At 40.9% G+C, this 15,423-nt stretch overlaps 1 pseudogene across 2 annotated transcripts in view; it reads right to left on the minus strand.

The window, feature by feature from the left end:
- LPAL2 (lipoprotein(a) like 2 (pseudogene)) overlaps positions 1 to 6,515 on the minus strand; it is a 44,570-nt pseudogene extending 38,055 nt beyond the window's left edge. For both annotated transcript variants that reach the window (NR_028093.1, NR_028092.1), the window contains exon 1: positions 6,350 to 6,515. The product of NR_028093.1 is annotated as a lipoprotein(a) like 2 (pseudogene), transcript variant 2 (transcript). The remainder of the gene's footprint in view (positions 1 to 6,349) is intronic.
- Positions 6,516 to 15,423: the final 8,908 nt, after the last annotated feature.

A 15,423-nucleotide genomic window follows, 5' to 3' on the forward strand; every position in this document is an offset into this window, starting at 1 on the left:
GGTTAGCTACTCGCATAATAAGAGCTTGCATCTGTTTTACTACAATTTCAACTCTTTCTCTACAGGAGTTAAGACTCTCACTCAGGGCAATCTTAGCAGATGTGTGGCTCAGTATCTGCTTCTGAAGCCAGGAGACAGAATCCCTGAGTTTATCATTTTCTTTCATCACTTTCTCCAGTGAACTTAGGACCAACCAACTTCATTATGCTCCTTGGTTCTCCACATATAGTCAAAGGTATTATGCATAGAGTCACTAAACTCCTTCCCTCATGAGTGGTGAATCAGGAGTGTCAAATGCATTTATTTTGCCTAACTCTTTAAACAGTTCATGCCAAGGACTATCAGTGTTCTCCATACTATTAGAAGTAGAGTGCTTTGCATTTTTGGGTCTAATCATATTAAGCAGTCATATCCAGAAATCTCAAAACCAATGAAAGAACTCCATCCTTAATATTCTGTTCCTCCAGAACCACTCCTGGTTCCAAAATCTATATTACTCAGGGTTCTCTAGAGGGATAAAACTAATAGGATACACACACACACACACACACACACACACACACACACACACACACACACACAAAGGGGACCTTATTAAGTAGTATCAACTCACAAGATTACATGGTCCCATAATAGGCCATCTGCAACCTGAGAAGCAAGGAAGCCATTCTGAGTCCCAAAGCTGAAGAACTTGGAGTCCGATGTTCAAGGGTAGAAAGCATCCAGCACAAGAGAAAGACGTAGGCTGGGAAGCTAGGCCAGTCTAGCCTTTTTACATTTTTCTGTCTGCTTTGTATTCTGGCCACGCTGCCAACTGATTAGATGGTGCCCACCCAGATTAAGGGTGGGTCTGCCTTCCCAGCCCACTTACTAAATGTTAATCTCCTTTGGCAACAACCTCACAGACACACCCAGGATCAATATTTTGCATCCTTCAATCCAATCAAGTTGACAATCCGTATTAATCATCACATAAACAATAGTAATATACTCAAATATGTATCTTAAGGATGGTTGTTCTTTATACTACCTCATTGAGGTTCTCTGAATTTCCTGAGTTTGTGTGTCGACCTCTCTAGTTAGACTGGGTAAATTTTCATGGACAATATCCTCAAATATGTTTTCCTCATTGCTTGCTCTCTCTCCCTTTCAGGGACACCAATGAGTCATAGATTTGGTCTCTTTACATAATCCCATATTTCTCAGAGGCTTTGTTCATTTTTTAAAATTCTTTTTCTTTATTTTTGTCTGATTATGTTAATTTGAAGAAACAGTATTCAAGGTCTGAGATTCTTTCCTTAACTACTTTTATTATACTAATATTTCTGATTGTGCTATGACATTCAATAGTGAGGTTTTTTTTAGCTCTACAAGAGAGGGTTGGTTCTTTCTTCAAATGGCTTGTCTTTCATCTCTTGAATCATTTTACTTCATTCCTTAGATTACTTGAAAGAGGTTTCAATTTTCTCCTGAATCTCAATGCTCTTTGTTGCCACCCAGATTCTGAATTCCATGTCTGTCATTTCAGTCATTTCCTTCTGGTTAGGAGCCATTGCTGGAGAGCTAGTGTGGTCATTTGGAGATAAGGAGACAGTTTGGCTTGCAGAGTTGCCAGAATTCTTGCGCTGCTTCTTTCTCATTTGTGTGACCTGATGTTCCTTTAACTATGATATAAGTTGACTTCATTTCTGGATGTTTTCAGAGGGCCAAGGTGGTGTACAAGGTCTTTATTTGTGGTTGAATTCTTGTCCATGGTTTTACGGGGTGGTATATTAGCAAAGTATTTTGGATTTTGAAGATTTTGATTTTGCAAACTAACAGGTAGGCTCTTCTTCAGCCACATGGCTCCTCTGTATTTCCTCACAATTGCTTCTCTCCCACTTGAGTTCCAGTTGCAGATCTCAGCTTAGCATTCTTTGGCCGTGTACCGCAGCCCTGGGGCAAGCTCAGCTTTGTTTTGGCTCCATAGCTTGGGAGAAGCAGGGGCAGGGGCGTCAGGGTGCTTGCAGGGAAGACACACTAAACTTTTTTTCCATAGGGTGGCTGGGGCCTGCTGGTGTGTGAATAAAGCACTCAGGATCTTTGTTTCTTCCCCAGTCCACAGACAGCAAGGGCAGTACCACTGCAGTGGCAGTGGCAGATGGGCTTTCAGTCGCCTCTGGGAGCTCCATCCCACAGAAACACAGAGAGCTGCCAATGGAAATGTTCAGCTGAGTATGAGGTGCCTGTACTGTGTGCCCAAGCCAGGAAACCTGCCTGGTGAAGAGTAACAGGTGGGAGCTCACAGGGAAGAGAGACTGGAATTCTTTCCATATAACCCCTGCTGTGTGCTGGAGGCATCAGGGAAGTGACCAGGTCACTTTGTTCCTTCTGCAGCCCAAGGGCAGTAAGGGCGGTATTGCTGCAGCTGAAATGGCAGAGGGGCTGTGGGTTGCCTCTGGGATTTCCTCCCCAGAGAAGCACAGTGCCTTCCTGTGCTCCCCTGCCTGAACACACTGACTAAAGTGTTCAGGCAGGGCCAGGGTGGTTGTGCTCTGCCCATTGAGGAGTAGCCGGGGCAGGCACCAGTGCAGAAAACAGTGTGCCCACTTTTCCGTAAGGCAGCTATACTGTGCTGGAGGTCCGTGAGAGTCCTGAAGCTCCTCGCTCCCTCCTGAGCCTGCACTTTAATCTCAAGAGTTTGAGATACACAGTGGTAAGGAAGAAAGTAACAATGAGTACAGCTAATGAAACCCAGGAAGACAAGTCAATTCTCTTTGAGGGGTGAGGTGGGGGCCACAGGCAGATGGAGTGGATTAAAGAATGACTAGTAGAGTGGCAGCAGAAGACAAGCCTGGCTCTGAAGGCAGCAAGTCCTCCAGGGAATATGGGGTCAGGGGAGGTTCTGAAAGATGACACACTGCAGAGAGCGTGTGTTTGTATGCTGATGACAAGTATCAGTAGAAAGGCAGATGAACGGATTCTCATTCTCAGAAAGACCTGTCCTGACCTCCTGAGAGTACACAGAGCATGAGGGCAGGACAGGGAGGAGGACGCACTCTCATTGATTCATGCAAAGTCCTCGGCCAAAGTTTACCTGCTCTCCACCTCTGTGACTTTGTCCTTTCTCAATTTAAGATGCTCCAAGCTGGAAAAATGGATTATTGACCAGTAGTTGGCTGATGCAATTCTAAAGCTAATACACCAAAAAGCACTTGAGAGATGTATCAGAAGATCATAGAGAAATAGATACTTTAAGCTAATATCCATGTCTTCACCCTGCACTGTCTTCTTATTTGAACTCCCTTTTCCGGGAAGAGTTGTGCTTGGGTAAATTCTATAGCTCACAGTGTGACTTCAAAACACATAATAAATTCATAAACTGTTTCCTACAGTGAGTTATGTTAAACTTTCTGAAGAGTGTTTTTGAAATGTAGGAGAGCAGACTACAATTGATATTCAAAAAGAGGAAACTTCCTGGCCGGGCGCGGTGGCTCACGCCTGTAATCCCAGCACTTTGGGAGGCCGAGGCGGGCGGATCACGAGGTCAGGAGATCGAGACCATCCTGGCTAACACGGTGAAACCCCGTCTCTATTAAAAATACAAAAAATTAGCCGGGCGTGGTAGCGGGCGCCTGTAGTCCCAGCTACTCGGGAGGCTGAGGCAGGAGAATGGCGTGAACCCGGGAGGCGGAGCTTGCAGTGAGCCGAGATGGCGCCACTGCCCTCCAGCCTGGGCGACAGAGCAAGACTCCGTCTCAAAAAAAAAAAAAAAAAAAAAAGAGGAAACTTCCATTTATTTTCCCCTTTAACCAAGTTAACCCATAACTGTGTCGTGTTATTATGCTTCATAGCGCATCACTGCTGAGATCCCCTCTCCAGCTCATGTCGCTAGGAAATATCCCAAAACAGAATCAATTTTTTGTCTTTTTAATTTGATAATTTTTCCCCAAGGCTTTTGTTTCTTTGATTCACCTCATATGGCAAGGGGTTTTAATAGGGTTTATTTGCTGGTGAAGAAACATTAAACACATCTTTTAATAGAAAAAATACTTTTATAGGCAAATGTAGTTGTATATTGCTAGTGAAGTAACTGGATTTTATTAATGGTGTGAGAATTTCTTCCTCACTGTGGTATGTGAATGTGTATGCATATTTGCATATGTAAAAGAAATAGTAATTTGTGAAATGGAAGATGATTCTCCACTTCTCACTGAGTATGGCTGTAAAATAAACTTGCTCTCCTCGGGCACTGAAGTACACTGGAAAGATGACACATCTACAGAAAGCATTCCTCTCCAAAAGAGCTTATAAGAGAATGTGCCCCCCAGGTTGGTTAAAACGTATGTTAATCCTATGGCAGAGAAGTTTGATTTAGCCTTTGGGTGTAGCCCACTGAGTAAGTTCATAGTGATCTATGTCCCAGTTTTCATGGGCTGAAATATAATACTCATCCCCCTGCCCCCATCTACACACACACACACACACACACACACACGTAGACACCAATTTCCCCCCAAAACCTCTTTGCTTAATCTTCTCCTGCTTTGTATTTTCTTTGATACTTTGTTGAATGGCTTCCACTAAGTTCAAATGTATTTTACTCTAAAGTCAATTTGTAAAATTTTATCTGGTAATTTATATATTAAATTGAAAGCATCTACACATTGCTTATATGAAGAACTACCATGAAAACGTATGGTTCCATTTATATGAAGTGTCCAAAATAGGCAAATCTATAAAAGCAGAAAAATACATTTGTGGTTGCCAGAAGCTGCAGACGCAGGGCAACAGCTAAGGAGAGTGGAGTCCCTTTTTGGTGTATGAAAATATTTTAACATTTATTGTGATGATGGCTGCACAACTCTGAATATATTTACATCCATTGGCTTGCATGCCGTAAATGGATGAATTAGACCTCAATAAAGCTGTTTAAGAAAAACCTATTAGTGAGACCAAGGACCCCCATTTTTCTAAGAGATGGTTTAATTTTTTGTGTGTTTTTTGTCTCCCCAGCTCCCCACTTTATACTTGGCCCTTTAGAATTGCAAATATGGCTTTTTACCTCCCCTTCATCTGAATCTCCCTACAGGGCAAGTCATCTAACTATGTGCTTCAAGATGGAACTCCTGAGTTCACAGTTGATTTATAAACCAAAGAATGTCCACTACAAAACTCTCACCCTCCAGAGACTTGTCTCAAGCGACAACATCCTGTTCACAAGGGCACCAGCAGGCACCAGCTGGTGGATAAGGTGCCAAAGCTAGCATGGACCCCTGAACCATTGCTTGCTTCCTCCCCTGCCTTTTAAAAGTACCACTTTCTGCTCCAAAAGTGAAGTGGTAAAACAGGACTCTTGTATTTCTTCCCCTAAGCTAGCGTTGGAAGTACATCACTTTCTTTACACCAGACTTCTCTCTTCTTAATTAGATTCTGCAAGTGGCAAATAACTAACCTGCTCTTCCGTTACACTGGGATGTGTTTAGATTAGTTTTTCAAAGGTTAGAACAAAGTTGAAAAAGTGAGAAGAGCCCTAGATTTTTTTTCTTGGAAATCTGGCTTAAATCCTGGTTCCTTTATTTCCTTGATTTGGGAATTTGGTCTCTGGGCAAATAACATCATTTTCCTAAGTCTAGATTTCCTTGTTTATAAAATTGGGATGAATATGCTATGCTATCTACACCATGAGCTCAATAAGCTACTGTCTGTAAAGAAATCACACTCACACTGACATGTACACACAGATATGTATGTACGTATACAAATGTGAGGACCTAACCCAAGCACTGAGTGAGTATTTGCTGAGTCACTATCTGCATACAGCATCTGGCAAATGGATGTGTGTAATTTCTCCAGGGATAAGAAGCAAACGTATACCTATGGAAAGCCTTATTCAGGCCATAACAAGGAGAGAAATGCTGAGTCCCACTCCATGAATGGGTCAAGGAGCAGAATATATTCAAAGAGATATTTCATTGTTTCAACTTGAAAGTGAGGGGAGCATGGCACCTGAACAGAGATGATATAAATTAATGAAACTGAGAACCAGGTGAAGAGCTTGACCATCCTTTGCGTAGTTAGCTACATTGCCTATTTTTTTCTTTCAACTAGACTGGCCATGATGTAGGCACACTCTTTTAGATTAGAAACACCACCCATTATGCCCATTCATTCCAGCACCCTGACAGTCTTCATGTGGAAATTAAACTTAGTTTTTTAAGAATTCCTCAATCTTATACAAGATTTTGAACTGGCGATTTTATGAATCAAAAATTAAATTAAATGAATTGCACATAAAGATATGGCATATGTATTTTTACTACATTGTGGGAGAAAAAATAATTATTACACAAAAAAAACTATGTCTTACCTGATTTCAGAAATAACAGAAGTAGAAGAACCACTTCCTTATGTTCCATTTTGGGACTGGCCAGCAGTGCCCAGAAAGTGTGTCCCAATCCCAGGATGTTGTTGACTTACATGAGAGTAAACGCATCCACAAACCAGATAGTCAAATTAAGTTAATGATTCTCTCAGAGACCCATGCCACTGGCTCAGCAGAGTTCAAACATTACCTGAATTTTTAGAAGCCCTTTTCTGAATCCAACCATCCCTCAGTCCCCTAAGAGTGGCCAGAGAAGAAGGACTCCACTGAGCTGACATTCCAGTTCAGTAAGTTGTAGGGACAGTTTTTTAAAAGAATCTGTAGGTAGGGGAGCACCAACCCATAACATACTGTAAGCCTGCAGGGTTCTCCAGCCCAGTCCCTTCTAGAACCCTTCCCTGTCCACAACCAGTGACGGATTATTCCAAACGTTGTTCAGTTTCATTTGACCTAGTTTGAAAACCAAGTTCCAATAATGAATAACTATGGGAGCTTGGGTTGCTGTATTCGGTCTCTGAGTAGCTTTTCCACCTACCCAGGCCACAATCAATAATAATCACCATTGAACATCCTTGAAGCAATTCTTTTGAAATTACTTTGCATCAAAGATTGCACAAGAACTGCTTTAAGTAGAAGGACTGATGTCAGCAATCAAGGGTCCCACCGAGGGCTGCAGATAGTTCTTGACCTTCACATGGGAAGGCGTCATTGAGTTCTGACACTCTGGCAATCCTCTAGGACTCAACTTTCTGATAAGCTAATAAATGGAAAGGTGAAATTAGATAAAGACATTATTACCTCATGGGACAACTAAGCATTAGAGGTTAGTCTAAACATGCTCTTTTAGAATCTTTACTACACTACTAGCTACCATTTATTGTAGGTTTGTCTATCTGTGCCAGATACAAACAACACTATGAATTACCCATACCATGCTATAATCACCAGATTTTTCTCTGTTATTCCCATTACCATTTTATAGATCAGGACATTGAAATTTGCTTGCCCATAGTTATATCAAAGGAAATTGGGAAAGCCAGGTTCCAATGCAAATATCTCAAATGATTACTTTTTTTTTTTTGAGTCAGTCTCACTCTGTCTCCCACTGTGGAATATAGTGGCACAATCTCAGCTCACTGCAACCTTCATCTATGGGTTTCAAGCGATTCTCCCGCTTCGGCTTTCCAAGTAGGTGGGATTACAGGTGTGGACCACCACGCCTAGCTATTTTTTTGTATTTTTAGTAGAGATGGGGTTTCACCATCTTGGCCAAGCTGGTCTCAAACTCCTGATTTCAAGCAATCCCCCCACCTCAGCCTCCCAAACTGTGGGGATTATAGGCATGAGCCACCATGCCTGGCCTCAAGTGATTACTTTCAACCACTGCACTACAATTTACTACTGGGAGGAAAGAATAATAATAATAGTAATGGCTATAATTTATTGATTAATGGCTATATGCTTGGCATTGTACTCACTTTTGAAGTTTTAATTTATAATTGACACATAGTAATTGTACGTATTTATGGGGTACAGTGTGATGTTTCAATGCATGGATACACTGTATAAGGATCAAATCAGGGTGATTAGCATACTCCTCACTTCAAACATTTTTTCTTTGTGGTGAGAAGATTCAAAATTCTCTCTTCTAGTTATCTTGAAATACACAACACATAATCATGAACTATAGTCACCCTAGTGTATAATAGAACACCAGAACTTATTCTTTCTATCTAACTAGAAATTTGTACACATTGACCAACCCCTTTTCATTCTCCTCTCCCTGACTACCCTGCTCACCCTCTGGTAACCACTATTCTACTGTCTAATTCTGTGAAATCAAGATTTTACTAAGTTTTATTGATAAATAATAATTGCATATGTTCATGGAGTACACAGATATATTTCAATACAAATGATGTACAGAGATCAAAGAGGGGTAGTTAGCATATCAATCAATCACCTCAAACATTTATCACTCATTTGTTTTGGAAACACTCAATATCCTCTTTCTAGTTGCTTGAAACTATACAATATAATATTGTTAGCTAGACTCATCCTACAGCGGCATAAAACACTAGAACATATTTCTGATACCTAGGTGTAATTTTGTAGCCTTTAACAAATCTCTCCCTATTCCCCCTTTCCCCACTCTTCCAGACCTGGAACATCCTCCATATTACTTTTTACTTCTTTGATATAAGCTTTTTTAGCTGCCACATATTGTTACTGGCAGCAAATCCATATGGGTCTGCAGCAACCTCAATTGTTGCTTCCTTGGACGAAAGATTTTAAGAGGCAGGAGGCAAAAGGACAGCAGGAGTGACAGTTTATTTAAAAGCTTTAGAGCAGGAATGACAGGAAGAAAAGCACACTCGGAAGAGGGCCAGGCAGGTGACGAAAGGCAAGTGGGGTGGCTGGCAAAATGGCCGAATAGGAACAGCTCCATTCTGCAGCTCCCAGCGAGATCAACACAGAAGGCAGATGATTTCTTCATTTCCAACTGAGGTACCCGGCTTATCTCACTGTGACTAGTTAGACAGTGGGTGCACCTCATGGAGGGTTAGCAGAAGCAGGCTGGGACATCGCCTCACCTGGGAAGTGCAAGGGGTCAGAGAACTCCCTCCCCTAGCCAAGGGAATCCATGAGGGTCTGTGCCGTGAGGAATGGTGCACTCTGGCACAGATACTATGCATTTCCCATGGTCTTCACAACCCACAGACCAGGAGATTCCCTTGGGTGCCTATGCCACCAGGGCCCTGGGTTTCAAGCACAAAACTGGATAGCCATTTGGGTAGACACTGAGCTAGCTGCAGGAGCTTTTTTTCCATACCCCAGTGGTGCCTGGGATGCCAGTGAGACAGAACTGTTCACTCCCCTGGAAAGGGGACTGAAGCCAGGGAGCCGAGGGGTCCAGCTCAGTGGATCCCACCCCCATGGAGCCAAGCACCCTAAGATCTACTGGCTTGGAATTCTTGCTGCCAGCACAGCAGTCTGAGGTTGAACTGGGATGCTCCAGCTTGGTTGGGGGAGGGGTGTCCACTATTACTAAGCCTTGAGTAGGCGGTTTTCCCTTCACAGTGTAAACAATGCCCCTGGGAAGTTCCAAATGCCCCAATTAAAAGACACAGACTGTCAAAGTGGATAAAGAGTCAAGACCCATTGTGTGTTGTATTCAGGAGACCCATCTCATGTGCAAAGACGCATGTAGGCTCAAAATAAAGGGATGGAGGAATATTTACCAAGCAAATAGAAAGCAAAAAAGAAAAAAAAAAGGGGGGTGGGTGGGTTGCAATCCTAGTCTCTGATAAAACAAACTTTAAATGAACAAAGATCAAAAGAGACAAAGAAAGGCATTACATGATGGTAAAGGGATCAATGCAACAAGAAGAGCTGACTATCCTAAATATATATGCAATACAGTAGCTCCCAGGTTCATAAAGCAAGTTCATGGAGACCTACAAAGAGACTTAGACTCCCACACAAAAAATAGTGGGAGACTTTAATACCCCACTGTCAATATTAGACAGATCAATGAGACAGAAAATTAACAAGGATATTCAGGACTTGAACTCAGCTCTGGACCAAGCCAACCTAATAGACATCTACAGAACTCTCCACCCCAAATCAACAGAATATATATTCTTCTCAGCACCACATTGCACTTATTCTGAAATAGACCAGATAATTGGAAGTAAAACACTCCTCAGCAAATGCAAAAGAATGGAAATCATAACAGTCTCTCAGACCACAGTGCAATCAAATTAGAACTCAGGATTAAGAAATTCACTCAAAACAGCACAACTACATAGAAACTGAACAACCTGCTCCTGAAAGACTACTGCGTAAATATTGCAATTAAGGGAGAAATAAATAAGTTCTTTGAAACCAATGAGAACAAAGACACAACATACCAGAATCTCTGGGACACAGCTAAAGCAGTGTTTAGGGGGAAATTTATAGCACTAAATGCCCACAAGATAAAGAAAGAGGATCTAAAGTCGACACCCTAACATCACAATTAAAAGAACTAGAGAAGCAAGAGCAAACAAATACAAAAGCTAGCAGAAGATAAGAAATAACTAAGATCAGAGCAGAACTGAAGAAGATAGAGACAGGAAAAACCCTTCAAAAAATCAATGAATCCAGGAGTTGTTTTTTTGAAAAGATCAACAAAATAGATAGACCAGTAGCCAAACTAATGAAGAAAAGAGAAAAGAATCCGATAGACACAATAAAGAATGATAAAGGAGATATCACCACTGATCCCACAGAAATACAAACTACCATCAAGGAATACTATCAACACCTCTATGCAAATAATCTAGAAAATCTAGAAGAAATAGATAAATTCCTAGACAGATACACCCTCCCAAGTCTAAACCATGAAGAAGCTGAATTCCCTGAACTTGAATAACAAGTTCTGAAATTGAGGCAGCAATTAATAGTAACCAAAAAAAGTCCAGGACCAGATGGATTCAGAGACGAATTATATCAGAGGTACAAAGAGAAGCTGGTACCATTCCTCCTGAAATTCTTCCAAACAATAGAAAAAGAGGGACTCCTCCCTAACTCATTTTATGAGGCCAGCATCATTCTGATACCAAAACCTGGCAGAGACGCAACATAAAGAAAATTTCAGGCCAATATCCCTGATGAACATCTATGCAAAAATCCTCAATAAAATACTGGCAAACCTAATCCAGTAGCACATCAAAAAGCTTATCTACCATGATCAAGTCGGCTTCATCTCTGGGATGCAAGGCTGGTTCAACATACACAAATCAATAAGGGTAATTCATCACATAAACAGAACCAATGACAAAAACCACATGATTATCTCAATAGATATAGAAAAGGCCTTCAATAAAATTAAATAGCCCTTCATGCTAAAAACTCTCAATAATCTTGGTATTGATGGAACATACCTCAAAATAATAAGAGCTATTTATGACAAACCCATAGCCAATATCATACTGAATGTGCAAAAGCTGGAAGCATTCCCTTTGAAAACCAGCACAAGACAAGGATGCCTTCTCTCACCACTCCTATTCAACATAGTATTAGAAATTCTGGCCAGGGCAATCAGGCAAGAGAAAGAAATAAAGGGTATCAGATGGAAAAAGATGAAGTCAAATTGTCTCTGTTTGCAGATGACATGATTGTATATTTAGAAAACCCCATCATCTCAGCCCAAAATCTCCTTAAGCTGATAAGAAACTTCAGCAAAGTCTCAGGATACAAAATCAATGTGCAAAAATCACAAGCATTCCTATACACCAATAATAGACAAAGAGCCAAATCATGAGTGAATTCCCATTCACAATTGCTACAAAGAGAATAAAATACCTAGGAATACAACTTAAAGGGATGTTAAAGACCTCTTCAAGGAGAACTACAAACCACTGCTCAAGGAAATAAGAGAGGACACAAACAAATGGAAAAAAATTCCATGCTCATAGACAGGAAGAATCATGAAAATGGCCATATTCCCCAAAGTAATTTATAGAGTCAATGTTATCCCCATCAAGCTACCATTGACTTTCTTCACATAATTAGAAAAAACTACTTTAAATTTCATATGGAACCAAAAAGATCCCATATAGCCAAGACAAGCCTAAGCAAAAAAAAAAAACAAAAACAAAAACAAAAAAAAAACAAAGCTGGAGGCATCACGCTTCCCAACTTCAAACTATACCACAAGGCTACAGTAACCAAAACAGCATGGTACTGGTACCAAAACAGATATATACACCAATGAAACAGAACAGAGCCCTCAGAAATAACACCAAACATCTACAACCATCTGATCTTTGACAAACGTGACAAAAACAAGCAATGGAGAAAGGATTCCCTATTTAATAAATGGTGTTGGGAAAACTAGTTAGCCATATGCAGAAAACGGAAACTGGACCCCTTCCTTACACCTTATACAAAAATTAACTCAAGATGGATTAACGACTTAAACATAAAACATAAAAACATAAAAACCCTAGAAGAAAACCTAGACAATATGATTCAGGACATAGGCATGGGAGAAGACTTTATGACTAAAACACCAAAAGCAATAGCAACAAAAGCCAAAATTGACAAATGGGATCTAATTAAGCTAAAGAGCTTCTGCACAGCAAAAGAAACTATCATCAGAGTGAATAGGCAACCTACATAATGGGAGAAAATTTTTGCAATCTATCCATCTGACAAAGGGCTAATATCCAGAATCTACAAAGAACTTGAACAAATTTACAAGAAAAAAACAACTCCATCAAAAAGTGGGCAGTAAGAACAGACACTTCTCAAAAGAAGACATTTATGCAGCCAATACACATATGAAAAAAAGCTCATCATCACTGGTCATTAGAGAAATGCAAATGAAAATCACAATGAGATACCATCTCATGCCAGTTAGAATGGTGATCCTTAGGAGGTCAGGAAACAACAGATGTTGAAGAGGATGTGGAGAAATAGGAACACTTTTACACTGTTGGTGGGAGTATCAATTAGTTCAACCACTGTGGAAGACAGTGTGGCAATTCCTCAAGGATCTAGAACTAGAAATACCATTTGACCCAGCAATTCCATTGCTAGGTATATACCCAAAGGATTATAAATCATTCTACTATAAAGACACACACACACGTATGTTTACTGCGGCACTGTTCACAATAGCAAATACTTGGAACCAACCCAAATGCCCATCAGTGATAGACTGGATAAAGAAAACATGGCACATATACACCATGGAATACTATGCAGCCATAAAAAGGTTGAGTTCACGTCCTTTGCAGGGACATGGCTGAAGCTGGAAACCATCATTCTCAGCCAACTAACGTAAGAACAGAAAACCAAACACTGCATATTTTCACTGATAAGCGTGAGTTGAACAATGAGAACACATGGACATGGGGAAGGGAACATCACACACTGGGGCCTGTCAGGGGTTGAGGGGTTAGGGGAGGGATAGTATTAGGAGAAATACCTAATGTAGATGACAAGTTGATGGGTGCAGCAAACCACCATGGCACATGGATATCTATGTAACAAACCTGCATGTTCTGCACATGTATCCCAGAACTTAAAGTATAATAATTTTTAAAAAAATTTTTTAAAAAGAAAGTCAAGTGTGTGCTTTGACCTTTTGACTTGGGGTTTTATATACTGGCATGCTTCCGGGGTCTTGTATCCCTTCTCCCCACTCACCCAACTCCTGAGAGCTTATCCAGAAGCTGTTTCAGGTGTTTTCTATCTATTGGGAGATGGCTTTTCACTGGTGCCAGCTGTGACCAATTATTACTTTACAAAGACAGTTAAAAACTGCCTGACCATCACCTAATGGTTGACAACACTCCAGGTGTGTGTTTGGGGCGGTGGTAGGGGAAGGCACTGTTCTGCCCTGCTCATACCTTACTAGCTACCTACTGTAACACTGAGTGAGAACACTCACTGTTTACCTTTCTGTTCCTGGCTTACTTAACAAACCTTCCTTTAGTTTCATCCATGTTGCTGCAAAAGATAGGATCTCATTTTTTTAATGGTTGAATAGTATTTTATGGTATGTATATATCACATTTTCTTTATCCATTCATGTGTAGTCAGACAACTAGATTGATTACATGTCTTTGTTATTATGAATAGTGCTGCAGTAAACCTGAGGATGCAGAGGTCTCTTTGATATTTAACGATTTCCATTGCTTTGGATAAATGCTTAGCAGTGAGATTGCTGGATTATATGGTACTTCTATCTGTATTTTTTTGAGGAACCTCCATACTGTTCTTCAGACCAATTGCACTAGTTTAAATTCCCACCAACTGTTTTTAAAATTCCCTTTTTTTCCTGCATCCTCACCAGCATTTTTTATTTTTTGTCTTTTTGATAATAGCCCTACTAACTGGGGTGAGACAATAGCTCGTTGTGGTTTAGATTTGCATTTTCCTGATTAGTGATGTTGAGCACATTTTCATACATTTGTTGGCCATTTGTATGTCTTCTTTCAAGAAATGTCTGTTCAGATCATTTGCCCTTTTTTTTTAATTGGGTTGGTTTTTTGCTGTTGAGATGTTCGAGATCCTTGTATATTCTAATACTAGCCCCCTGTCCGATGAATAGTTTACACATATATGAGGCACCACGAGATCCTTTACACAGGTTAGTTCACTTACTCCTCACTCCAACCCTATGAGGGAGGCGCTATTACTACCACTCTTATTTTACCCATAGAGAGTTCAGCAGAGGTTCATAACTTCCCCCAAAGTCACACAGCTAGTGTGGCAGATGGAGCAGGGTTGGATGCCAGAGCCAGGCCCTCCAGCCCCACGCCTCGTTGCTGCAGGAGCCCTCCAATCTGCAGTCACTGCCACAGGCATCAATGGCACTACCCAGAATAAGGATTTATTGAGCACCTACTGTATTCACAGAACTCTAATCAGTCTGAAAGTCCAAGCAATGAAGCAAACAAAGCCAAGGAATGGCAGAAATGGCAGAGTTCAAACCAGAGTCTAGGGCCTGAAGTGCACCGCATGGGCCAGGTTAAAGTGAATGAAACATTCCTATTTTGATCCTTTTCATTATTTATCATTCATACCCCTAACTACCTTTAATGCGATTAGTTTTAGATGTAAAAACAACAAATACGCTACAAATCAGCTCTTCCAACATTTTCTTCTCGTGAAAAAGGCTCTTTGAAAGCCCTGTTTTGCAGAAACTTGCTCCTTTTGCATGAATGGTAAATCATAGGAGACCTGGTAGATTACGCTACATACTTAATGTGAAAGGTTGCTTCATTCAAGAGCCTGGAGTTTTCAGACATTGTCCTGAAACTTCCCTGCCTAGGGTAGGGTAATGCCAGCGACGGCAGGAAATAGCTCTGACGCACTTAAGAGTTAAATACAACCTACAGAAGTTCTGGCTGGGTGGGGAAAACCTATTGCTAAAGAGAAGAGCTACTTTTTTTCTTTTCTGGAATTTGCAAACAGCATTTATTCTCAGCCTTACCTTCCACAAGCTCCACCTGGAACATTGCTGGGCAGCGTGGAAACAGAAGCAAACATCAGCCAGGCCG

The sequence above is a fragment of the Homo sapiens genome, chromosome 6 (genome assembly GCF_000001405.40).
Source record: "Homo sapiens chromosome 6, GRCh38.p14 Primary Assembly".
NCBI lineage: Eukaryota > Metazoa > Chordata > Mammalia > Primates > Hominidae > Homo > Homo sapiens.